Here is a 27,919-nt window from a genome sequence, read left to right on the forward strand (position 1 = left end):
TTTCACCGCATTAGCCAGGATGGTCTCGATCTCCTGACCTCATGATCCGCCCGCCTCAGCCTCCCAAAGTGCTGGGATTACAGGCATAAGCCACCATGCCTGGCCGGAATTTTCTTTCTGTGTGAATCCTTGGTGCAGGGCTGGAGCCAGTGAGTAAAAGTTAAAAGAAAGCACATTTTCGTTCAGCTGTATAAGAAAATGCTAAAATATCAGTTTACCATGAAAGTCTACATGCCAGGAAGAAACTGAATGAACGTTAAACAGACTCACAATTAAGAGAAGCTATGATGTGGGCCTAGCTTACGGTATGTGAGTTCTCTGGGCCAGGACAGACAGCTTGAGTACCAGGCAGGTACCCTGAGGATGTGCCATCACCACAGTGACCACAGACCTGAACTGGCTCTCTGCGGCTTTGTGGTCTGTATTTACGGCCCATCCATGCATCCTTGTGCCTTCCTGTCCCTAACTGGTGCCTGCACTGAACACTTGGGTCTTGTATTGTGCTTAAATCCTTCACACCAGGCCTGAGGGTTCGGCCTAAGTAGTTTCAGCCTCTCAAGGGTCTTCTTAACTAAACTTTTCTGCTTCTCTGTGGCCTTCTGATCGACCCTCCCCAACCCTGCATGTCCCACAAGCTGTGGAGTTCCCCACTGCACATAGTACTTTATTAAAGGCTAGAAAATTAGGGATGTGAATGACAATAGGATGGGCAACCAAGAGTGCTCATCAAGTCTCCTCCCTGAAGTTATTTAGAAACAAGAGCCTTCTTTGTTAAGATTTTTCAGAGGACAACTAACTAAGTGAGCCACATGGCATCTGGAAGGGGAGGGGAATGGAGTTGGCACTGGTTGAACCCCTACTCAGTGACTGTCATTGTGTTAGGGTTTTTGACACACATTACCACATGAAATACTCACAATACTCCCTTGGTTAGGTCTAAATCTCTTTTAAGTGAGAGGTGACAGAGATTCCTAGGGTTAAGTAACCTGCCCAAAGTCATAATGCTGGCAAGTTGCAGAGCCAGGATTTGAATTCAGCACGACCCTCCAGCCTATTTCATCCCTGCTGCAGGCCTTTTCTAGCTTGGAAAGTCTAAATCTACCAGGTTTTCATGCGATGCAATTATTGAATTACTTGTAGAATTTCATTCTTTTGAATGGTCTGTTTTGCAGCAACACACAGGAAAAAATTGTCACTCCACACAGCTTTGATTAGCAATATTAACACTCTTTTAGAAAACATAGATTACAGCAATGCAGGAAGCTGGCCCTGAAATTAAATTCAGGATGATAACTCAAGAATTTTAGATATAAGGGCAGAAAGAGGATGGAGGTCAGCTGGTCCTGGCTCCTGAAGAACCATCTCCACTCCCTGTTTTACATTTTGTCTGAACAGCTACCTCCCAACTGAAGCACTTGTTTCTGCAGTAATACACCAAAGAGTCATTTTCTGCACTCTTGCCTAAAAGCTGACTTTTACAGAAGAATCATAGGTATAATACAATATAGGTTTCCATTTGATATAACCAATCTTCCCTAAAGAAATTCTGCACTAAATTAAAATAGTGAGCACTATAACATAATATAAGCGCATAGTCTCTGGAGCTTAGTTACTAAGGTTCAAACCCAGATTCCATCACCACTTCCTAACCGTAACTTTCCTTAGCCTCAGTTTTATTCTTCGGAGAGTTTTAAGGATTTAACCAGTTAATACATATAATACAGAGTAAATGATGTATTGTGATTTTGTTTAGTTTTGTTTTTCAAGGACAAGTGGAAACAAGATCATTGTGCAATATGTTCCCAACCCAAGTGTTGGGTGCATAACATTCCCAAAGGACAGTTTTGAGCTTAGATTCTGCATTTCCTGTGTAATCCAGAACATCTCTATAACTTGCCACATCTGACTCACTCTCAACTACTGAAACTTCTCAATGATCAGAGCTGAGCACTTGTGAAAATATGTGATAATAAGAATCTAGCAATTCATTTTCTGGACATTTTGTTTTTTGTTAATTTGACAAAGCCCCTTATTAACACTAGTTTACTATGTTCATTTCTACCTAGCAATTCTACTGGGGGTGATTCCCCTTGATTGGAGTAGTCTGGGAAAGGAAAAAAGAACTTTCCCAACATCCTAGAGGTATCCTATATTCATTTATTAACTGGTTCACCCATTCATTCAATGAATTATTTCTTGAGAAACCACTGATGCCCAGCTCTGAGCTGAGTTCTAAGGATTCAGTAGCAAGCCAAGCAGACATAGTCTCTGCCCTTATGGTGCCTATGGTAAGATATATGACAAACAAGTAAACAAAGAATTAAACAATTATAAAAAGCACTACAAAGGAAACAGAAAGGGCTTATGACAGAGAATAATGAGAGGGAGCGAAACTACTTAGACAAGATGTTCAGAAAAGGCCTCTTTGAGAAGAAAATGCACTCTCATTTCCTGAACCCAAAAAAATAGAAGCCAGCTATGGCAGACACCACCATTTGCCTAATACATTTCACTTCTTCCTTATTTTGCTTATGTGCACAGCACAGTGTACCTAACTAAAACACGCATATCCCAGCTTTGGCCATTGAGGTATAAGCTATAATTTCGGAGAAGGTGTTGCTTCCCTAATATAAGGACTGCCCTTTCTTGCTTCTCTTCAGCAACTTCTTTTATCTGAAATATGGATAAGATGGCTGGTGCTATGGGAGTCATCTTGCAAACAAAAGGGAAAAGCAAAGACAGGGATCTTTTCTCTCATATTTTTGAGCCAATGACCAAGGCAACCTCTTTAAACTTCTAATTGAATGAAAAAGAAAAAAACCCTGTATATATGGAAGTACTGTCATCAGAATGTTCTGTTATTCATAGTCAAATGAAATCCCTCACTATTATACCAGCAACCACAGCACAGAAAGGGCATTTTGGGAGAAGAAATAACATGCCTGAAAACCTTAAAGCAGGAAAAAGCTTGGCATGTTTAAGGGTAGAAAGGCCAGTGTGGCTAGAGTACAGCAGGCATGGAGGAAAGTGAGAAGAGCTAAGGTTGGACATATAAGGGAAGGGTCAATTAAGCCTGCAGGCCAGGGTTAGGAGTTTGAATTTTATTAGAGGAGTGAATGACAGCCACTGGATGGCTGATTTACACTCTACAAAGATCCTCTGCCTGCCTTGTGGTGAAGGACTTGGAGGCGGGCAGGAGGAGAAGTGGCGAGACAAGCCAGGGCCATTGCAGTTGTCCTGGGGAAAGAAGACATTGACGTAGGCAGGGACAAAGGCATTGGTGGTGGAGAAAACTACACTGAAATGGCAGTGTGGCAGCCAGTTTGAGAGTAATTTGGCAAAAAAAAAAAAAAAAAAATCAATACAATATGTGAAGAATTTAAGCATTGCTTGTTAATCAAGAGGATCAAACTACTTATTGCCACAGGCCAGGCAGGTGAAATAATATTAAATATAGCAGCTAACATTTATTTATGTGTTATGGTTGACAGACACTGTATCATTAATCCTTGTAATGGCATTATAAGGTAGACATTATGATTATCCCCATATTACAAATGAGCAACTGAGTCATAATCAAGTAACTTGCTTGAAGTCAAAATTTTTAATAACCTGGTGGAGGTGGGTTTCAAACCCAAGGCTATCTGATTCCTTGATTCAAGACACAAGGGGCTTAGAAATTGCTCTTAGATGATTTTCTTTTCTTTGTATATGCTTACTATCACACATCAAAAGTCTCCACATCCTCCATTCATGGACTAGAATCCTTATCCTTGAGGGTGATGGAGGGAGGAAAGTCTACATGTTCTGGAGAATAAAACCTGGGCACATTTATTGAGACTTTATTACATGCCAGGTCCTCTACGTTTATTATATCCACTTTACAAGTTGGGAAACTAAACTGCAGAGAGGTAATGTAACTTACCCAAAGTCACAAACCTAGTAAGATTCAACCCAGGCTGTCGGACAGGTTTAACCATTGCACATAACTGTCTCCTTCAGAGGAGTTTCTTCTCAGATTCAAAGTCTGAATCTTGCTCATTCTGCACAAAAGGTAACCTGAATGGTGTAAGGGCCCAAAGAGCTGCTGTTCCACTAAGCCAGAAACATCAAGCCAGTACTCACCTTGGGATCAGTGGTGGTGAACACATTGGGGCTGACAGATTGTTTCAGCTAAATGCAAATTCACTGAACTAAAAGCCCAACTAGGACCAAACCAAGCACAAAGATGGCCGCAAGACCGTGAATTAACTCTGCCTACTTCTAGTTCTCCTTAGTTATAGCTCAAATGTCACATCCTCAGAGATGCTATCCCTGCTGAGCTTAGCTAAAGTAATGCTCCCTTGCTCAGGTCACTAGCTACCCCACACCTTACTTATCCTTCCTCTTAGTGTTTTTAACTCTAGAAAAATATCACTTTATCATTTATGTGTTTATTGTCTGTCTCCACCCATGAGAATGTAAGCTCCATTTTTCCCATGCCTAGAATGTCTGGCACATGGTAGGCATTCAATAAATATTTGATGAATGAATGATTGAATAAATTTGTTAATTTGCATTGGCATCTGGGGAAAACACTTCAAGCTCTAGACAAATACACAGGTTTCTCTTCAACTTAAGCACCTGGGACAGTAGAAAGAGGGACAAATAGCTAAACTGATAGGATGGCATTAGAAAATGGCATCAGAAAATGGCATCAGGATTAATGCAGGTGGTCACTTTTTAAAAGCTCCTTCTTAGAAATGGTAGCCTTCTTCTATTCCCATGGGAGGTGGCACGACCCACTACAGGGCATTTAAGTATGCCAGTAGAAGCTCAATTTAGTAGTTCCCTAAATTGTAGTAGGTCGAAGCTACAAGGGAGAGAGACAGTGGTGGGAGGGCGCCCTGGGAGAGCGCACTAAGGAGGAGGTGCAGTCCAGGGATGGTCCCCGTGACGCCCAGCAGTGACAGCAGGCAGAGCCCTAGGACCACAGTAGAGTGGCTGCTTGTGGCCCTCACCTGTTGGTTTATTATTCTCATCAGCAGTAATGGAGGTTCCCCCAAGAGCCACACTCTCTAGCCTGCCTTTCAGTGTGGGCAGAGGCAGGAGAAATAGTATGCATGGCTAGTGCTTTTTTGGATGTCTGCACCCCACTGGGAATCATTTCCATTTTGCTTCAAAATTTAAATAAATAAAAACACAAATAAACAAAACAGAAGCTCTCTGATGCGGATGAGAGAGTCATCCCTTGCTCATTTTTGTATTCCTAGAAAGAACATAAACCATACACGATCTTTTCCTGTTTTTTGGTACAGTTATTGCAGGCTGGCTTTTCTCATTCTCTTTTGAATACCTCGAGCAGAACACCCCTCGTGTTGTTAATGACTTCAAAGATACCGGGTCCACTGTGCGGCAAGTGATAAAAATGTACACAGCATGTGTTGGATAAATTAATAAACTCTCCAGAGCCTCAGAGTCCTCTGGCCCAGCAGCACCGTAATGAAATGTTATTCTGAAGTGGAGGAGGTGGGAAGGAGAAGGGGAGCAGTATTTAATATATGCAAATTAACTAGTATGCAAATTGCCACTAAGTTAAAAATAACGGACTGCGAGAGAAACCTATTTTTTAAGCAGCTTGTTTATTCATTAGCCTAATTTCCATTATCAATCCTTCTGTTTTCTTTTTTATTAAGTACTCACATTTGGGGAAGTTTGCTTCCTACAATTTGTTTTGCTCCAAAATCCATAACACTGGTAAGAACAATCACCATACATTAGCTTTTCTTGGTCTCATTCTTGATTTTGCTCCTAGCTTTCAATCCCTTTTTCTCTTTCTTTCTTCCTGCCCCTTTCCTTTTGCCGTTTTCTCCTATCACTTTCACTTGCCTTGTTTCTCTGGCACCTTTTGTTTCACTGCTGAATGCGACTCCATGAAGCATCAGGCAGGGGCGAAGAGAAGCCTCCTGTCCTATGAGGTCTGACTCCAGGGACCTGTTCTTCCAGCCACTCGCCCTCATAGGTGGACTCGGATGCAAAAGGCACCAAAATCCAGCTCCCCTGCACCTCAGGGCGTGTGCTACCATTATCCCTCTCCCAGCAACAGAAAAGCCAGAACAATGCACGCCCTGATTCGGGTCTGTATATGGCCTGCTCTGTGTAGAGACAGACCTTACACAATGTTAAAGACAAATTGGCAGCCAAAATCCCCGTCTTTTGTCTCAAGAAGCATCTACCTTGCTATGAGAGAGCTCTGGTGCCCCCGAGAGGCCGAGAACGGTACCGATTGCTGGGCCGGTTATGGGGAAGGCAGGAGGCTGGAGTACAGCGTACACAAAGCCCTGGGCAGCAGCGTGTCCAGAGGGGAGATCCTGAAAGAAGGGGTGCCCTTGAGCAGCTGGGGAGGGGACTCAAGAGAACATGCTTTGCCAAAGCTGCACATAGCTTGCAAGGCTAGTTTTTGTTTTAACCGTTGTCATTTTTCACAGGGTTTGTAATCACATAGTTATTACGAAGCATCAAAATTATTTTTTAACAAGAGGTTCTTGGTACATGGTGCTTAGCTGTAGCTGTGCAAAGCTGTTTGTGCCATTCCAGCTCCTAAGGGATGTGCATCTTAGACACACAAGCACATACTCTGAGGGGCGGTATCTCCTGGTGTCCTAGAGAAGCTGTGGCTGAGACCCACGGTGGAGAATCTCAAGGCTCGCCCTGTCAGGAGCCCTGCTCCACAGCAGGCTGTGCTGCAAGTCAGCTGCAAGGGATTCAACATGAACACAAATTCCCAGAGCAAATAACTCTTAACTCCCTCTCCCTCCTGAGTTCCCTCAGTTGCTATTGCTTATAACTCTCCTGGGAGACACACTATGTCAGAATAGGAACCACATTTTTCAGGTTTCAGCTCAAGGTCAGAGCTCTGTCATTCCCCTGCTAAAGTACCTATTACTCAGGGGCAATGATGTCAAATGTAAAAGGTCACACTTTGGCAGCTGCTAGGGATCGTCCACAGACAGGCGGTGGCTGGGGAATGAATTTGCACCAGTTCCTTAAACTCCAGCATGTACTGCAATCTCCCATTGCTCTTAGGGCTAAAAATGGTGTCAAAAGGCCAAAGACCTGAAAGAGGCAGATGATACCAGAAACAGTCACTGACACTAAGCTCAAGATGGAGTCAGAAAGATAAATCATTATTATTTAAGCTCTGCACGTTTTAATACATACTCTCTTTGCAATATTTCCATAGAATGAGGAAATAAATCACCCTGCTCTTGACATTTTTAATAACTTTAAGAATGTGGTTAGGGTAATACTTAACTTTATTGACATATTGTATGGTTCATCTGTCTCATCAAACCTCAATGAAACTTCAATGAATATTAACTGAGGACCCCTAATGTATTAGGTACTGCCTGAAAAATCTCCCAAACAGTCCCTATCTGCCCTCCAGGAGTTCTAACTTATTGGCTTGACTCCTGTCTGTGGAAATCAATAGCCCACAGGGTAAGGTTTTATGGAGTTGGGGGTAGGGACTGTTCAGATTCTAGCTGGAGGATTTGGTTCACTGGGCATAGGAACACCTCTTCTTAGACTCTGGCTATTTGTCCTCAGGTTTAGATGCCTTTCTTGAGCAACACAGACATGATGAATGGGAAGAAGACAGACCCTAGTGCCATTCAACAACTATGCCTCAAAGATAGTAGATGCAGCCTACTGTCTGTGATGTGTATGCGACATTGTTCTTCCTGGTCCCCTGCTTTCACAGAACAGAAGAGAGGCCTAGAGTGGACCTTAAACTCACCAAAGTCACATAACTAACTCTTTTATGGCAGAACAAGGAGTAATAACCAAGTGTCTTGATTTTCAGGCCAACTCCCTTTTCATTAGTAAATGATAATGGTGGTGTATTTTACAAACGGGTAGGGGAACAAAAGGAAAGGGGGTCAAATAATTCAAGTGCTGATAATGATAATATTTAACCCATTTCTCTAGGATTCGCTTTTTGTCACCTTGGATTCTCAAAGACACAAGTTTTCTCTCTCACCCTCAGGAGTTTTTTGAGCTGGTGCCTTTGCAAGAATACTCTGATCTCCAATCTTGTTCTCCCAGCCATTCTTAGACATTCTCCAGGTCTTTGTTTGGATATCACTACCTCTAGTAAGCTTTGCCTTGTTCCTCACATCTGAGCTAGGTGCCCTCTATATATTTTCAAGGTCCCCACCCCCTGTCCTCCATCACAGCTCCTACCACACTTTATTGTAATTTTCTTTTACTTCTCTGCCTTCTTCAATATTCTGTGAACCCCTGGAGGAGAGGAACTATATCTGTCTTGCTCAATCAAGATTATCTCTACAGACTCTAAAGTTGTAGAGTCTCTATAACTCTAAGAACGTGGTTATAGTCAACTTTACTGATATAGTGTACAGTGCATCCATCTCATCAAACTTCAATTAAATCTCAGTGGCCATTAAACGAAGGCCTAGAATGTACAAGGCAGTGATGCCTGGCACAGAGTAGATGCTCAATAAATATTTTAGAATGCATTAAGGAAGAGTGGAACATAGAACCTCATCAGGGAGAAAATGTCACTAGCCATTCCTGTCACAGAAGTATCCAATTTCTCCCTCCCCCCTGAATACATCCTTGGCTGCTAATCTGAGCATTCCAGAGTGAGACTTACACTGTCTGAGAAAACATGTTATAGGCTATGTAAAGATAAGAGAAAGGTACACACATTTGAATATGGTCCGTCTTATTTATAGGAGTAAACCTAACACTCAGGAAACACATCTTCTGGCTAGCAAAAGCCAAGGAAACAAGCAAATATTGGACAGAGAAATAATTTTGCAGAAATATTGCAAAAATTGTTTAATATCTTTGCTACATAAAGAATTCATATAAATTGATTAAAAAATAAAAGAATAAAGTCCTCAATAGATAAGTAGGCAAGGGACATAAACAGAAAATTTCTATAAGGAAAGCCTTAACTAGCAAATAAAAATATATAAAAATATCCAACCTTGCCTGTTAAAACAATTGTGTGGTATAGGACCTGGATCCAGAGATAAGAAAGGGTCGGTTGCCCCTCTTACCCCGGCCTTACTCACTCACAGCAGGACTCGTTGTTGCTGCTGTATTTCAATGGGCAAGGTGAGGCATTGTTTGAGTATAAGCCCCCAGGTCCTTAATAGGCTAGGAGAGATGCAAAGAGCAACACAGTGAACAGCACAAGAATGAGAATTCTGAACTGGTAGCCAATAGAGTGGGAGGAAGCTGGACAACAAGAAGAGGGATGCAACGGCACAGAGGTGGCTTTGCTTGTTCCAGGATGCAGTGCCTAATGTGGCTAGCCCACTGCCTGGCACATGACAAACACTAGAAAACTGTGGGACTAAAAATACAATATTGCACATGGAGGAGAAGGAGTCAAAAATATAAATGAATGTTTGAAACAAGGTAATATGTTTAAATATGACACAATCCCAGGGGCTTTATGATTTGCTGTGAAAGTGTGTTTTTGGCTTCTTGTTCAAACAGCTGCCATGTAGGGTTCCCTCTGGTGCATCCACCAGAAGGGAAATGAGATTCATTAATGTATAATATCAGCATGGCTCCTAGGTGCCTCACAAATTCAGACATGGGTCTGAGAAACAAAATGATAACAAAAATATGATTTACCCTATTAAATTTTCAGAAGTTAAAAATAAAGATAATATTTTATTGGTGCAGTATAAATATAAACACAACAATTTTTTGAAACTTTTTGAAAGCAGTCTGGCAATATCTATCAAGCACCATGTATCAATTAGTTATTGTGGCAAGAACGTTGTGTAACAAATACATCAAGAGAGCCTGTAAAATCTGCAAGGAGTTACACATGTGTTTCTCTACCTGGGCAATGCGGAAAACAGGGTAACGCCAACCCACCAATGGGAGGCAGCTCAGTCACTGGGCTCCTTTTCTGAGCTCAAAGGGCAATGCATAGAGTTCAACTGAATTCTCATAATTGCACATTAAAAATTCATTGAAAGGAACTTCATAGGGTCATAGAAGTGTTCTATATCTTGAATGCGGTTAAGCAGGTATGTTCACCTTTCAAAACTCATTAAAATAATCACCTAAAATATGTTAATTTTATTGTATATAGCTTATTCCCCAATAAAGTTTATTTAAAAAATAAAACCCAGTTGAGAATCACTTTAACTTTAAAATTTGAATTATAGAAAACTGGTTTTATCTGAAAGCAGGCTGGAAAACTTAAGTTGAATCAAAAACTATAGTTGTTTCAGTTCTGGCTAAGACGAAATAACAGGGACTGAATTTTGTCCTCCTGTCTGAAATAAACAAGGACAAAACAACACATGAAAGAACAGTTTTCAAGACATTGACTATCAGCAAAACAACAGATATCAGTGTGGCAATGCCTGAGAGATGCAGAACAAGTGAGGGGAGCTGTACAATTACCCCAGCTTGCTACCTTTAGAACATTTCCAGACCATGGAGCAAGAAGGAGGATATCAGGCGGAGACCAGCAAACTTCCCTAGTTTAGGGTACAGAGCTAAAAGCCTTGGGAGACAATGCAGCTAGAGTTCCAAAGACAGAGAGAAGAGAGATGAACAGAGAGAGAACTCTAAAGTCAGCCAAGATCCCCTTGTGTATTCAACAAAATATTGATCAGCACCATGCACTGAGAAAATTACTCAAGTATAGAAAAAGAACCCCCAGAAAAGATTAGAGAGAACAGTATCTAGTGTTCACATAGGGGCAAGAATACTGCCTGTTCTCACTAGCAAGACTGGAAAACATCATTATGCACCAGCATTAGGTAGAGCACTCACAAAGGGCTTGCCTAACTGGTAGGGAATAATTAACTCTAGACTGAACACAGCTTTGGTCTCACCTAACAAATATGAAAAGCAATAACCTAAAAGATCAAACTGTTGCCAAGTAACTGAACTGTATCACAGAACAAGGCTCAAAAATATTTACAGAAATACAAAAATATCCAGCACCCAACAATGGATAAAGAAGTTTAACTCATAGTGATAAAGAGGCAAATACATGATAATCCTAAATTTTTATGTTCCAGAAAACAGAACTTCAAAAAGCAAGAAGCAAAAACTGATAGAACTTCAAGAAGAAATAGACAAAGCCACAATTGATTGTGGCAGATTTTAATATCCTCTCTCTCAACAATTGATAGAACAAGGAGACAGAAAATTAGTAAGGGATATACAAAACTTGAACGACACTGTTAACCAACATGATCTAATTGGTATTTATAGAATACTCTCCACCTAACAATAGCACAATACACATTATTTTGAAGTGTAAATGAAATATTTACCAAGATAGATTATATTCTGAGACATAAATTAATTCTCAATAAACTTAAAAGGATTAAGTTCATAGAAAGTACATCTTCTGGTCAAAATGGAATTAAATTATAAATCAGTAACAGAAAGATCTCTGAAAAATCACTAAATATTTGAAAAGTGAACAACATACTTCCAAATAACCCACAGGTCAAAGAAGAAATCAAAAGTGCAATTAGGAAGTATTTGAAGTGTAAGTAAATGAAAACACAACATATCAAAAGCTGTAGATGCTGCTAAAGCTGTACTTAGGGGAAAATTTATAGCACTGAATGCCTGTATTAGAAGAAAAGGAATGTCTCAACTCAGTGAGCTCAGCTTCCACACTAAGAAACTAAAAATGGCAAAGAAATTAAGCCAAATAAAAGCAGAATAAAGGAAATAATAATTATCTACGTGAATATCAATGAAAAAGAAAACAAATGCAACATAGAAAAAAATGAGTGAAGTTAAAAGCTCATTCTTTGAGCAGACCAATAAACCTCTTGCCAGACCCCCCCCCAAAAAAAGGCAAAAACTTCTTGCTTATTTTTTATCAGTAAAAGAGACAGAAAAAGAGAGAAAGGGAGATACAAATTAGCAATTACAGGAATGAAAGAGGTAAAATCACTACAAATTCTACAGTTAATAAAAATATTTACAGAGTATATTAGGAACATCTTTTTGACAATAGATTTTACAACTTAGGTAAAATAGACAAAATCTTTGAATGACAAAAACTACCAAAGCTCACTCAGGAAGAAATAGATAGTCTGAATAGTTTCATATATATCAAAAAAATTAATTTGTAGTTAAAAACTGTCCCATAAAGAAACTCCAAGCCCAGATGGCTTCACTGGTGAAAACATTAAAGAAAGAAATAACAAGAAATGAAGCAAGGAATAAAAACTTACCAACTAATTCCATGAGGTCCGCATTACCCTAATACTAAAAGCAAACAAAGATATTACAAGAAAAGAAAACTCCAGACTAATAGATCTCATTAATATAGATACAAACATTTCAAACAAAATTTTAGAAAATCAAATCCAACAATATGCAGAAAGGATAATATACCATAACTTAGTAGGGTCTATCCCAGAAGGGCAAGTTTGGTTTAACATTTTTAAAAAATCAACATAATTTATTATACTAACAAACCAAAAAGAAAAACTATGTGATCATTTCAATTGGTGCATAAAAAACATTTGACAAAACTAAACACCCATTCCTAGTAAAAACTCTTGGCAAACTAGGAATAGACAGGCAATTCTTTAATGTAATAAAAGGCAGATATGAAAAATCTACAACTATAATCATACTTAATTGTGAAAGACTGAATTTTTTGCATAATATTGACAGTAAGACAAAGATATTCATTCTCACTACTTCTGTTCAACACTTTTCTAAAGATTCTAGCTAGTTCAATAAGGCAAAAAGAATAAAAACATCCAGATGGAAAAAGAATTAAAACTGTATTTATTCACAGATAACATGAACATCTAGGTAGAAAATTCAATGGATTCCACCAAAAAAAGCTATTAGATCTAACGAGTGAATTTAGAAAATTTTCAGACTATAAGCTCAATATATACTAGCAACAAACAATCAGAATTTGAAATTTAAAAACCAATGCCACTTAGAATAACATCAAAAAATATTAACTACTTAGGAATAAATCTCACAGAAGATGTGAAAGACCTATACAATTAAAACTAAAAAAAAAATACTGAGAGAAATTAAAGATAACCTAATTAAATAGAGTGATACACTGTGTTGATGAAACAGAGGACTCAAGATTGTTAAGATGTTAAATCTCCCAAATAGATTTATCGACTCAGTGTAATCTCAATCAAATCCCAGCAGGCTTTTTTGAATAAAATAAACTGATTATAAAAATTCATATAGAAATGCAAAGGACCAATAATAACCAAAACAATGTTGAAAAAGAACAAAGTGGAGAACTAAAATTACCTAATTTCAAGACTTATTATAAAGCTACAACAATCAAGTCAATGTGTATAGACCTCAATGTACACAACTATATCAAAAGAACACAATAGAGAATCCAAAAATAGACGCATATATATATATATATATATATATATATATATATATATGGACAATTATTTTCAACAAACGCAGAAGAGCAATTCAATGGAGAGAGATTTACCTTTCCAAAATAGTGTTAAAATGATTGGATAACTATATGCAAAAAAATGCATTATATACAAAAATAACTTCAAAACGGATTATAGGCCTAAATTTAAAACCTAAAACTATAAACTTCTAGAATAAAACACAGGAGAAAATCTTTGTGATCTTGGGTGAGGCAATGATTTCTTATATATGACACAAAAATCCCAATCCATAAGAAAATCATAAATTTGTATTTCATCAAAATTAAAACTCTTATTCTTCAAAGGATACTGTTAAGAGAATCAAAAGACAAGATACAGACTGGGAGAAAATCTTTACAAAGCATATATCTGATAAAGGACTTGTCTCCAAAATATGTAAAGAACTCTCAAAACTCTGTAATAAGAAAACAGCCCAGTTTGTTTTTACATGAGCTAAAGGTTTGAAAAGCTATTTCAATAAAGAAGATACACAGATGGCAAGTAAAAGGTGCTCAACATCATTTGTCTTTAGAGAAATGTATATCTAAATTACAATTAGACACTCTCACATACCTACTAGAATGGCTAAAGTTAGAAACACTGACCATAGCAAGTATTGATGAGGATGAGCAAGTATTGAAAAGGATGCAAAGCCAATGAAACTCTCATATACTGCAGGTGAGAATGTGAGATGGTATAACCCTTTGAAAAACAATTTAGGATTTCATAGTTAACATATACCTACTATATGATCCAGCCATTCCTCTCCTAGGGGTTTACCCTAGAGAAATAAAAGCATATGTCCATACAAAGATTTGTAAACATTTGTTTACAACAATTTTATTTTTAAAAGCCCAAAGTGAAAACAACCCAAATGTCCATCAATAGGTAAATGAATAAACAATTTGTTGCTACATCTATACAAGACTACTCAATAATAAGAATGAATGATTGACACGACATTGATAAATATCAAAATAACTATGAGTTGAAGAAGACAGTCAAAAAATACACACTGTTTGATTCTATTTGTATAAATTTTAGAAAATGCAAACCAATTTATAATGACATAAAGTCTTTCAGTGGTTGCCTGTGGACAACAGGAGTGTGTGAGGGCAGGTAGATGAATAGATTACAACCCTTTGGGAAAACTTCTGGAGGTGATGAATATACTCATTTTTTTATTTGGGTGATGGTTTCACAGGAGTATGCATGCACCTGCACCCTCACTTATCAAATTGTACATGCTAAAAATGTGCAATTTATTGTGTGTCAATTATATCCCAATAAAGCTGTTAAAAACACAAGTTATAAAAGTACAAGGGACCAGCAACATTTTAAAGAGATAGTATACTTTTGTTTTTGTTTTATTTTATTTTGTTATCTTGGCGTAGTGGGGAGCTTTTAAATGGGGACTGGAGATAGAAAACTTATACTTCAAAAGAAAAACAATAGTATACCTGTTGTTAGCTGTACTTGAATTTTTGGTTTTGTTTTTTTTTTTTTCTGCGGTTTGAACTAAATCCTAAATTCTTTGTGGGTTACAAGTCCCCAAACTAATGCTTTCAAATTTTTACTTTTATTTTATTTCATTTTATTTTATTTTTTTATTTTTTAATTTTATTATTATTATACTTTAAGTTTTACGGTACACGTGCACAACGTGCAGGTTTGTTACATATGTGTACATGTGCCATGTTGGTGTGCTGCACCCATTAACTCGTCATTTAGCATTAGGTATATCTCCTAATGCTATCCCTCCCCCCTCCCCCCACCCCACAACAGTCCCTGGTGTGTGATATTCCCCTTCCTGAAGCTGGAAACCATCATTCTCAGCAAACTATCGCAAGGACAGAAAACCAAACACCGCATGTTCTCACTCATAGGTGGGAATTGAACAATGAGAACACATGGACACAGGAAGGGGAAATTTTTACTTTTAAAACTGGGAGTTGCACTCCTTATCCTAGCACTCAGTATTTACCTTATAGTACACTGTTCCCCTAAATGCGATACTGAAACTACAGATGACAATACTAACGGCTTTGCCATGCAAGCCTTGGAACCCCAGCCAGGCCTGCATGAGTACACTCAGGCAGCTGCAAAGTGGTTTCACTCCTTTCACCTTGGGGTCAACACCTACCCCCACTACACCCCTGATCAGCAGGAAGAAATTAGAGCAGTCTTCACCCTTTTTCCATCTTCATTAGCCAACACCCTAAGATTAAGGTGTTATAAAACCTAAAAGGAGGGATTGAAACCGCTTTTGCAAAATTATGACTGACACAGTGAAGGAGATCTAACTTAACTGACTCCATTTTGCTTCTAATCTCTAAGCTGTCCTTGTTCATTCCTGGGCATAAGCTGAACTAACTTTGGGAGGAACTTAGTTTATACCTTAAAACAAACACAATAACAGCACTTTCCCAAAACAAACCTCCTTCCTGCCTGGGTACTAGACTACTAACATTAGCCACAGGATTAGAAATTATGGTTTAGGATTCATGCAGCTGGAGGCTACAAGGTTCTGACCCTCCCTAAACTCCTAAGATCAGGCCTTGAGATGTTTTGCAGACCTTGCATTTGATAGATCAGCTGACACCACCCAGACTGATAAACTGGCTCATCTGATCTTGTGACCTCCCCCCCAACCCAGGAAATGACTCAGCACAAGAAGGCAGTGACACACTATGATTTCATCTCCAACCCAACCAATCAGCACTCCCAGACTCACTGCCCCTCCCCAGCCACTAAATTGTATTTAAAAACTCTGATCCCCGAATGGGGAAGACTGATTTGAGTAATAATAAAACTCTGGTCTCCCGCAAACAAATAAATAAATAAATAAAAAGATACTGCTGTAAAAGAGTGAGGGAATCATGAAAGTGTTTTCAGAGAGTGGGGGGAAAAAGCAAGTGCCTCAGAGCTAGACGAAAGGAAAACAGGGATTGGAGGAGATAAGTATAGGCAGGCTCCAAGCAGTAAAACCCAACCTCCTCAGTTTCATCTGGAGCCGTAGAATGAGATGGCATTAGGAAGTCACAAGGAATGGGCGTTATCTGATGGCTGTTCAGGGAAAGGGAGATCAGTCAAGTTTTTGCCATTGCTTCTCACAGCTTAACAAGAGTCCCCATTGTCTACAGTGACACAGAAAAGCTACCAGGAGCTTAGTAGACCCTGGAGGACTTCATAATCCAACTTCCCCTAAAATCCAAGAACTTCAGGAAAACTCCAAGAGGAAACAAAGCTTTACAAATTTTCTGGATGACTTAGATCAGTGGTCTCCAAATAATTTTGATTGCAATCTGCTTTAGGTAAAAAAGAATCTGAGCATGTGCCCTCTAACTAGGGTCACTCACTACAAGATTACATCCCTGTATGCTGTTATATCCATATAACATGTTGATTTGTTTTAAACAGCATCAAAAATAGAAACAGTACAAGTATAAGATAAAAACAAATAAAAATCAGAATTATAATATTCTTCCTACCCTCCATATTCCCTTGCTTACTGGGTGACTACATCTCACTTTGGGGACCACTGAGTTAGATAAAGCATTCTAATTATGTACAGCGGACAAGAATAATCAGACTCAGACCCAGTAGGTTGTGTCAATATTAGGAAGGATAGAAATACTTGTGATAGGAAAACATTGGAAACAATTGGTCTATTCAAAGATGAATAACCAGTCAAATTTATATCCATTTGTCAGACAATTAAGCAACCATTTAAAATAATATTTCCAAAGAATATTCCTTGGCACAGAAAATTTTTCATGGTGTGGTATTACATGAAAAAAAATGAATAATAGAAAGATTCCAATTTTATAAAATAAAAAAGTATCAATGTGTCATAGAAAAAACTGGGCAGAAATGTATTGAGGTGTGGCTGAATTGTGGCTAATTTTACATTTCTATCTGATCTTTTCTGTACTTTCCAAATGCTCTACAATGAAAATTTTCCACTACATAATTATAAAAACACAATAATTTGGTAAAGAAAGCATTGCAAATAAGTCCACCAGGCAGTAAAGATCAGTGACTCTGAGGACGCACCTACAAATCTAGTGAGACATTAAAAGGGTTAGAAATAAAATTTTAAAAACAAAAAATCAAAACTCTAAGCATAATGTAAAGGAATCTGGGCTCGCAGCAATACTCAGGATACGCATTCACCCCGACCCTCTACAGACATCCACCCTGCATGTGCTGGTCATGTCACAGGCTCTAGGTGAGGCCCTGGGATGTAAAGATGCTTCCGATGCAAGCGCCCTGCCCTAGAGTATTTCAGTCAGTTGTCTTGTGTTCTCATGCTGTGTTATCAGAAACAAAAAGCAAAAATACTTTCTTCCCTTATGCAAAGCCGCTTTTTGTTTTTCTGTTAAACAAAGCAGTTAAGAGATGTTCTCGCCACCACAACCCGGAAAGGTACAACTACTAGAGATTCTGAGAAAGACAAATAAAATGGGAATATCAGACAAGGGGAAAGGTTAGAGTCTTCAGTCTGAAGGCCAAGAGGAGAAGACATCTGCATCCAAGAACCAGCCAGGGCACGGTGGCTCACGTCTGTAATCCCAACACTCTGGGAGGCTGAGGCGGGTGGATCATGAGGTCAAGAGATCGAGACCATCCTGGCCAACATGGTGAAACCCCGTCTGTATTAAAAATACAAAAATTAGCTGGGTGTGATGTGCACGCCTGTAGTCCCAGCTACTCGGGAGGCTGAGGCAGGAGAATCACTTGAACCCGGGAAGCGGAGGTTGCAGTGAGCCGAGATCCTGCCACTGCACTCCAGCCTGGGCGACAGAACGAGACTCCATCTCAAAAAACAAAACAAAACAAACAAACAAAAAAGAAAAAACAAGAACCTTGAGGTTTCATGAGGCACGGATTTACTCACCAGATTCCAAAACTCTGTGACTAGGGGATATCCTGTGAAATGTGATCCAGGTTTAGTTCCAGACATAAAAGGAAGCAATTTCTCTCACAGTGAGTAATAAACGGATTGAAACTTATTGGAATTCATCACCCCCAAGAGGTGGTGCTGGCAGGAAATACAAATGCCTTCCAAAAAGGTTCAGACAAATTTAGGAGTGACAGAATTGCGAATGACCTCCCTTGCTCACTTCCTCTTGCTCTCTGTCTCTAAAGCAGGCATGGTCTTTAGAGGCTGGGCTGGTGTTTGCTCTAAAGGATTTCCCCTAGTGGCCAGGCAAGGTCAGGATCCCCATTCCATGCTCCCACAGCATCCCGTATTTAACTCATCATAGCTCTGACCACACTGTATTACAATTCCTCCTTGATATGCCTGAGCTCTGTGAGGATGTGACAGAGGCAGAGCCAGTACTGAGTAGGTGCTCAATAAATGTGGGTTGAAAGAAAGAGTGTGTGACCCTACCTGTCCTGTCCCCAAGCCTGGGAGGTATACCAAGCACTGCATTTAATCAAGACTAAATTTTGAGAGCTTCCGACACTGGCAGGAATGCTGATTACTCTCTGGTCCTCACTTGCCACTGCTCCCGACTCCAAAACCATACATTCCCGGAGCAGAAAATCTGGTAGAATGGCAGGGAGCACTGGCTGCTTAGGATACACTCTCAGAGCAAGGGCCCCAAGTAGTCACACAAGAATATCTTATCTGAGGAAATGGTTCTTAAAAGCTCCTGGGCGGCTAATATCTTTTATCCCCCCTCCTCTTATCGTCCCCCAGACTTGCTCAACAGACAGTTCTGTTGTCCAGTGTTGTGGGCTTCTGAGCTTTCATCTGCAAATCAATTCCCTGGAAATTTCACAATAAAGTACACTGAGCTCTGTTATATCAAGGACACAGTCTCCTATATCTCCTCTAAAACCTTGTTTCATAACATTAATCTTATCCAGAAGTGTGCCAAGATTCTTCAGATTGAGGGCATGGGGATTTTAATTTATTTTTCCATTAATGATCAGCATCCATGCTAAACCTGTAAATATTACTTCTATTAATGCAGTGCAATGCTAATTTTTAATCCAAATAAACAGAGTGAGCAATTCAGGGACACAACTTGCCCCAATAGGGCTTTTGCAAATCTGCGTTTGGCTTAGGAGACAAAAGAGGGGAATACTTTGTATTCTGGGAAGTTGCAGTGGTCAGCTAGGATTCAGTTTCCTCATTCTTAAGATTTCTCCAGGATATATGGGAAGGGGAGGAAAAATAAATCAAAAGTACAGATCATAATATCACACAGCTGTTAAAGCTGAAAAGGATTTTAAGGACTTTCTACTCAAAAGCCTTTTTTTTACAGGTATGAAATGTAGTCACAGATGAGGATGTATGGCCCATGAGTAACTGTACAAAGTCCAGAAATGGCAACCTCCTTCAGGTTCTCAGAAATGGGATGGAGTGACCACAGTGGCAGAGCACTCTGTTGCTGAGTTTGTAATTATCATTCAGGTGCCAGTGCCCACCAGGGTCATCATATGCCACAGGTTCTCCCAGTCAGTGCTCATTTGAAATATTCTATTACATAGGTCCCATAAATGTAGTTTAAAATGTCAGATATTTACTCTGATTTAGGGTTCCCAAAATACACTCTCTAGAATTACACAAAACCTATAGAGGTAAAAAGTTAGGTCCTGCTGGGAGTCCCAGGAGCCTAGACCTAGACCCTGCCAGGACTCAGATCCAAGGCATGGTGAGCCCAGGTCTGGAAGTGCTCCAGATGTTCCGGGCCTCCAACACAAGAAGGAAAAGACACAGAGAAACTCAAGATAAAGTGGTTGCCCATAATTATCAGTCTAGAGGCCATGGGAACTGATGTTTCTAGGCAGTCAGGTGGGAGGAGAAATAAAGGTCACAATCACTCCCTGAGCGGTCTCCACAAGTGGCATTTCTCAACAGTTTTCAAGATAACAAGTTGATGTGATGGTTATAAAGACTATGATAGGAAAAAGCATTATGGAAAGCAGATGTGAAATACAGGAATGGACTGTCACTAGTCATACTGTAAGTCTCTATGGCAGATGGACTTCAAGTGACAGCTGCTTTCTGTGCTCACCCTCCTACCACCCAACAATTCCATCTCTGCCCTGTGAGACCTGGGTTATCCTTCTGGAGCTGAGGTAGGAGCAGGGGAGAAAACATGCTGATATGATGGGGATCTGCATTCCAAAAGATCTCTGTTCTCTATTGAGCTAGATAAGGTAAAGGCCAAACCAGGGGACAAAAGTACTCCACCTTGCAGTCAGGCAGTGATTCCTTCAAAGAAGACTCAAATGACACACTTGCTGAAACTCTGCACATGGTGCTCAATGCCCTGAAAGTCTGGCCTGCTGGGAGAAGACACGAACCACGATAGGGTTCATAAGCTGATGTTTGTGGATCTGACTTGCAGTCCACTTGTCCCCTTGAGAACAACAGTTTCAAAGTATGGCTGAATGTCCCTTGGCTTGGGATTGCAGACTGCTGAAGGATAATGAGAGGAATAACAAGATCAGGCAATAGCTGGACAGGGTAGGTCCAGGCCAGAGTCTCTGCCATCCAACACCCTGGACCACAGAGGGCTTTCCTTCCACTGGGCTTAGGCATGTGACACTTAGGTAAATATTGACACACTTCACAAGGAAGAACAAATACAATTTTTATTAATTATATATTTAAAGTTCAGTTTATTCAGACATCTACTCTTTTTTTCATTGTGTTTAATTTTGGGGGTGTTAATGGTGGTAGTGGAACCCTTTTGATTACAAACTGAGATAAACCACCTGTCATTAAGAGATCTGAGATCTGTTTGTTATTGCTCATTTGCAGGAAGCAGCAAGACCTTGAGAACAGGAGCAAAAACTACAGTAGGACCGAGACAGCTATTATGCAACACACTATTTCAGGCGGACACAGAAAGCTCCTCTTTCAGAAAAGGAACTAAGGGAGGAAATGAAAAAGGAAAAACTCATGGAGTCCACCTTTTGCCATATTTTCACACTTTCTGGACTGTACATAAGTTTCCACTTTTTCCGATGCTTCTGTAACTTGAAGAAAATAATCTCATAAGCTCTAGGATCTGGCTTTGGAAGGAAAGGTGGAGAGAAACAGACTAGACTGTGATCAGGTAACCAAAAATATGTGATTTCTAACCTCTGTCAGCATTTTGGACTGTGAATGTATGGAGACCCTGAATAGATGACCCTCTGCTTAGCGGACACTTCAATGGGTGTTTGGATATAGGAACCTGGGTGAAGAGCTTGGTTTGGGTTGAAGAGGGGAAATGAACTGCTCTGTTTAAGAAAGTGATAGGAAGATAAAGATAAATTGAGTCCAAGCACAGACTTAACAAGGAGTACTGAGCTACCATAATCCCAGTTCAGGGGAGCTGAGGCCGTCCATGCCTACTGGGGAGTCCTCCATATTCCTCCAACTCCACATTCCCAAAGGCTACAATCCTGTTGATCCTGTCCCCCCATACATACACTTTCTCTCTATCTCTCTCTTTCTCTCTCTCTGTTTCCCCTCTCTTTCTTTCTCTCCACCACCCCCACCCAGGGTTCCTCATGGAAATCAAGTGCCCTCTTGCTTTAAGTAGCAGCCAGAGTATCCAAGCTACTAATCCCCCACCACAGACACCCACTACTCCCTACTCCCCTCCATACTTACCACAGACAAGTCTTCTGTGAATTTCTAGGTTTCTGGAATGCAGGGTCGGGACTGGAAGAGAAGATGAAGAGGATGGAGAAAGCTCATAGACACACAAGCCAGCAATCATCCCTCTTCTTTCTACACCAATTATGGATCTGTGCTTTCCTGTCTACTAATCTCACCAGCCTGGCTCTGTATCCCACATTTGATGCCTTATCGTGCTATTGTGTGAGGCAAATAACTCTATTGCCCAAGCCTAAGACTCTCCCTATTACTTGGTCCTAAGCGATGAGGAAAAATGGAAAAAGGCCACTGTGGGCTAGTAAGATTGCCTTCTAAATTTTCAGTTGAACTTCTGGCTCCCAGGTTCAGAAGGACAGTAACTATGGAAAATGAGGAACACTTGGAGCTAAATGTAAAAGATAAATTTAAGATTAATAAAATATGATATTTCCTTGTATTTATAATAGTGGTGGTTGAGGTAAAAAAGGCATATGAAGATTGTTGATCCATTTTTAAAAATGGCAGCTTAGTAGAGGGTTTTGGGAGTGGGGAAACTATTTTCCCAAAAGGGCCTTGTATTGCTTAGACTTACTACAGAGTCTGCTGGGAAATGGAGTCCATTTGTCTAATAACCATATGCCTGCCCTATCTGCATTCCTCAAGTCATTATGATGTATCAGGTACTACTTTCTTTCTCCAGATGCTAATCCCAATAAAGCTATTTCTTCTGGGGAAAAAAATAAATGAATAGCTGGGAGTTTGTGGTTTGTGACTTGAGAGCCAGAAAATGGAATAGAAGTCTCAGAAGGAAGAAAGAAGGCAGCACGGCAGACCTATTGGGGATTGTGGCTAATTTTAGAATTGTGGCATTAGTTATAATGCCTCTTATTCAATTTTAAGTGATTGCCTATAAGCTCTACCCATTATCCATAGACAGTCCTTAAGTAAAAGTCTCCGGTGCACACAAAATGTGTTAGTGTTAACTTGGGATAGATTTAAGGAATTGGGGAGGTCTTCAGCTTGAAGCAAAGATGTATGGAAAATTAATAGTGGTCAAAGTAGGAAAGGCACAGGCAAAAATCCAAAATTCAGGAAAGCAAAATATTAAATTAAAAGCTAAGTAGGAGAAACACCAGCTTCCAAATAAACTTTAATATGAAGTTACTGGTTGTTATAGACTGAAGTCCTTCTAAAATTCATTTGTTGAAATCCTAACCCCTAATGAGATGGTAATAGGAAATGTGACCTTTGGGAAAAATCAGTGTTCATATTTCTTTGTTGTCTTTCTTCTGATCTTTTACAGTTTGATTCAATTCAGATACAAATAAGGTCCACATATTATAATTGTTGATATCTAGCCTAAGTATCTTTTAACCTAAAGGTTCCCCTTTCCTCTCTCTCTCGTCTTTTCTTTGTAATTTAGTTGATAAGTAAACTGGATTGTTTTTCCTAAAGGGTTTTCCACTGTCTGGATTTTGCTAATTAGATCCCATGGTTTCATTTGATGAGTTCCTCTGTTCCTCTAAATTGCTAGAGCTAAGGGCTTGATTAGATTCAAGTTTGTTTGTTTTCTTGTTTCTGTTCTTTTTTTTTTTTTTTTTTGGCAAAACCACTTCACTGGTGGAGTTGTGTACTTTCTTCAGGAGATCCATAATGCCCACGTGTCTCTGTGTTGTTAGCAGTATTGATGATCATTGCATAGATCCAACAATTCATTCATGGTTACCAAATATATTAATGTTCTAATTATATCACTTCTTCTTCACTTAGTATTATCTGTATAATAATATAAAGAAGAACTTTCCTTTATCATTAATTTGCTTACTCTGAGGTATAGCTCTTGTAGAAAGGAAAGATAATTCCTGGATAATTTCCTTGTATTTACCAGTTTTCAGAATAATAAATTTATTTCCTAATTTTCTATCAGTTACTACTGAGTTTCTTCTTTACTGTTACTTTTTAGCCACCTCATGAATTTATGAATTCAAATATATTTGATATGATATCAATCCATTAAACTGTATCTGTATCAGTGGCCAAATCATTCCATTTTTGGATAGTGGTAGCCTTTTCAATTTGGAATCTGAGTCTTTGACAAAACCTTAGTAGTCTTTCATTAATTATCTCCTTGATTTTTAGTATAATATGATACTTAAGGCTTGCCTTGTTCATTTCCTGTTTCAGAGCTGAAATAAGCCGTTTTTTGTAAAGAACAGTCCTTTTCAGGGAAATACTTGGAGACCATAGTGTGGATACTAGGGGTGCTCATTGCTTCTGGGTTGAAGCACATCAAAATATTAATCTACCACAATCAAGTAGGCTTCACCCCCAGGATACAAGGTTGGTTGAACATACGAAAATCAATAAATGTGATTCACCACATGAACGGAACTAAAGACAAAAACCACTTGATTATCTCAATAGATGCAGAAAAGGTTTTTGATAAAATTCAACATCCCTTCATGTTAAAAACTCTGTATAAACTAGATATTAAAGAAACATACCTCAAACTAATAAGAGCCATCTATGTCAAATCCACAGCCAACATCATACTGAATGGGCAAAAGCTGGAAGTATTCACCTTGAAAACCAGCACAAGACAAGGAAGCCCTTTCTCATCACTCCTATTCAACATGGTATTGAAAGTCCTAGCCAGAGCAATCAGGCAAGAGAAAGAAATAAAGGGCACCCAAATAGGAAGAGAGGAAGTTAAACTATCCCTGTTTGCGTGATATGATTCTACATCTAGAAAACCTGATAGGCTCAGCCCAAAAGCTTCTTTAGCTGATGAACAACTTCAGTAAAATTTCATGATAGAAAATCAATGTGCAAAAATCACTAGCATTCCTGTATACCATCCACAGTCAAGCTGAGAGCCAAATCAGGATAGCAATCCCATTCACAACTGCCACAAAAAGAATAAAATGCCTAGGAATACAGCTAACCAGAGAAGCGAAAGATCTCTACAGTGAGAATCGTAAAACACTGCTCAAAGAAATCAGAGAAGACACAAAAAAATGGAAAAACATTTCATGCTCACAGATAGGAAGAATCAATTTCATTAAAATGGCCACCCTGCCCAAAGCAATGTATACATTCAATGCTATTCCTATCAAACTACTAACAGAATTATTCATAGAATAATAAAAAACTATTTTAAAATTCATATGAAACCAGAAAAGAGCCCAAATAGTCAAGGTAAACCGAAGCAAAAGAACAAAAGCTGGAGGCATCACGTTACCCAACTTCAAACTATACTACAAGGCTACAGTAACCAAAACAGCATGGCACTGGTACAAAAACAGGTACATAGACGAATGGAACAAAATAGAGAACCCAGAAGTAAAGTTGCACACCTATGACCATCTGATCTTCAACAAAGCTGACAAAAACAAGCAATAAGGGAAAGACTCCCTTCTCAATAAATGCTGCTGGAGTAACTGGTTAGCCATATGCAGAAGATCGAGGCTGGACTCCTCCCTTATGCCATATATAAAAATCAACTCAAGATGGAATAAAAACTTAAATGTAAAACCCAAAACTATAAAAACCCTGGAAGACAACCTAGGCAATACCATCCTGGACATAGGAACTAGCAAATATTTCATGACAAAGACACCAAAAGCAATTGCAACAGAAGCAAAAATTGACAAGTGGGATCTAATTAAGCTTAGGAGCTTCTGCACAGCAAAAGAAACTATCAACACAGTAAACAGACAACCTACAGAATTGGAGAAAATATTTGCAAACTATGCATCTGACAAAGGTCTAATATCCAGCATCCATAAGGGACTAAAACAAATTAACAAGAGAAAAACAAACAACCCCTTTAAAGAAGTAAGCAAAGGGCATGAACAGACACTTTCCAAAAGAAGACATACATGTGGCCAACAACCATATGAAAAAAAGTTCAATATCCCTGATCATTAGAGAAATGCAAGTTAAAACCACAGTGAGATATTACCTCACCCCAGTCTGAATGGCCATTACTAAAAAGTTAAAAAAAAAAAAAAAAAGATGCTGGCAAGGTTGCAAAGAAAAGGGAACACTTACACACTGTTGGTGGGAGTGTAAATTAATTCATTGTGGAAAGCAGTATGGTGATTCCTCAAAGAGCTAAAAGCAGAACTACCATTTGACTCAGCAATATACCCATTACTTGGCATAAACCCAGAGGAATATAAATCATTCTATCATAAAGAGACACGCATGCAAATGTTCATTGCAGCACAATTCACAATAGCAAAGACATGGAATCAACCTAAATGCCGATCAATGACAGATTGGATAAAGAAAATGTGGTACATAAACACCATGGAACACTATGCAGCCATCAAAAAGAACAAGATCATGTCTTTTGTGGGAATATAGGCATTGCTGGAGGCTATTATCCTTAGCAAACTAACATAGAAACAGAAAACCAATACTACATGTTTTTACTTATAAGTGGGAGCTAAGTGATGAGAAATCATGAACACAAAGAAGGGAACAGACACTGGGGTCTACTTGAGGGTGGAGGTTCGAAGGAGGGAGAGGTGCAGAAAAGGTAACTATTGGGTGCTGGGCTTAATACCTTTTTACAGAAACAGTTTGTACAACAAACCCCCATGCCATGAGTTTACCTATGTAAGAAACCTTCACATGTACCCCCGAACCTAAAATAAAAATTTTAAAAAGAAAAAGAAAGCTGCATATACCATGATTTTCTATATCCACTCTCAAAAAATTAAAAATAGGATTACCATATGCTCCAGCAAGTCCACTTATGTGTATATACCCAAAATAAATGTATATATACCCAAAATAAATGAAAACAGGGTCTTGAAGAGATATTTGTAACCCATCTTCATACTAGCATTGTTCACAATAGCTAATACATGGAAGCAACTCAAATGTTCATCAACAAATGAATGGGTAAACAAAATGTGGCATGTACATATAATGAAATATTACTCAGCCTTATAAAGGAAGAAAATTCTGCAATGTGCTACAACATGGGTGAACCTTGAGGAGATTATGCTAAGTGAAAGAAGCCAGTCACAAAAAGACAAATACTGTGTGATTCCACTTCTGTGAAGTACTTAGAGTAATCAAAATCATAAAGACAGAAAGTAGAATGGTGGTTGCCAGGGGCTGTGAGAAAAGAGGAATGGCGACTTATGGTTTAACAGGCATAGAGTTTCAATTTTATAAGATGAAAGGAATTATGGAAATGGATGGTTGTGATGGTTACTCAGTATTATGCCACTGAGCAGCCTGGAATTGACTAAGTTTCACATGAGATTAACTTGGACTCTGCTCTTAGTTACAATCTGAGATGATCCAGGAATACCTTTACACTATCAATGGTAAGTTTTATTTTATGTGTATTTTACCATAATAAAAAAAAATAGAAAAAAACTTATACCACCTCTCTCACATACTTACATTACCTGCCTGGCCCTGGAATGTTGGGAACCCCTGACCCAGACCCTAAATTCTAAGAGAATCCTAACCCAAAGATTTAGAGATTCTCTGTATTCTGCAGCATTTTGAAACACTTTCTGCCACAAATCCTTTGGATGTTGCTAGTCTGCAGTTCAGTCAAACTCAGTAAGCATTTTTTGACCCATTCTACCTCTATCTTTAAATCTTGAATCCAAAAGATTTTATTAATATCAATTTATTGACAAAAATATCTTTGTATGACTCAATGAAATATTTCACTTTATCCTGTTTTCTAAACAAAAATACTTTTAGATTCTTAAAAATCATTGGTTTGATTTGACCTAGTGAGAAAAGTGAAGCCAAAGTAGCATATCTTATTTAGATAAAGTAATTGCAGTGGCATGAGTAACTGTGTTTGTCCTCCTTGATT

At 38.9% G+C, this 27,919-nt stretch overlaps 1 long non-coding RNA gene across 5 annotated transcripts in view, besides 2 other annotated features; it reads right to left on the minus strand.

The window, feature by feature from the left end:
• LOC105374122 (uncharacterized) overlaps positions 1 to 18,580 on the minus strand; it is a 161,587-nt gene extending 143,007 nt beyond the window's left edge. For all 5 annotated transcript variants that reach the window (XR_924528.4, XR_924527.4, XR_007096111.1 and 2 more), the window contains exon 1: positions 18,352 to 18,580. This is a non-coding gene — a long non-coding RNA (uncharacterized LOC105374122). The remainder of the gene's footprint in view (positions 1 to 18,351) is intronic.
• Positions 5,829 to 6,123: a silencer, noted in NCBI's record as "tiled region #765; HepG2 Repressive non-DNase unmatched - State 20:ReprD, and K562 Repressive non-DNase unmatched - State 13:Ctcf". NCBI's record gives its function as "represses a minimal TATA promoter and a strong SV40 promoter by Sharpr-MPRA in HepG2 and K562 cells {active_cell/tissue: HepG2 | K562}" and the evidence as "EXISTENCE:reporter gene assay evidence [ECO:0000049][PMID:27701403]".
• Positions 15,683 to 16,882: an enhancer, noted in NCBI's record as "P300/CBP strongly-dependent group 1 enhancer chr3:135232323-135233522 (GRCh37/hg19 assembly coordinates)". NCBI's record gives its function as "activates an origin of replication core promoter dependent on BRD2, BRD4, P300/CBP, MED14 and CDK7 cofactors, with strong dependence on P300/CBP, by STARR-seq in HCT116 cells {active_cell/tissue: HCT116}" and the evidence as "EXISTENCE:reporter gene assay evidence [ECO:0000049][PMID:35650434]".
• Positions 18,581 to 27,919: the final 9,339 nt, after the last annotated feature.

This window comes from Homo sapiens, chromosome 3 (genome assembly GCF_000001405.40).
Source record: "Homo sapiens chromosome 3, GRCh38.p14 Primary Assembly".
Classification (NCBI taxonomy): Eukaryota; Metazoa; Chordata; class Mammalia; order Primates; family Hominidae; genus Homo; species Homo sapiens.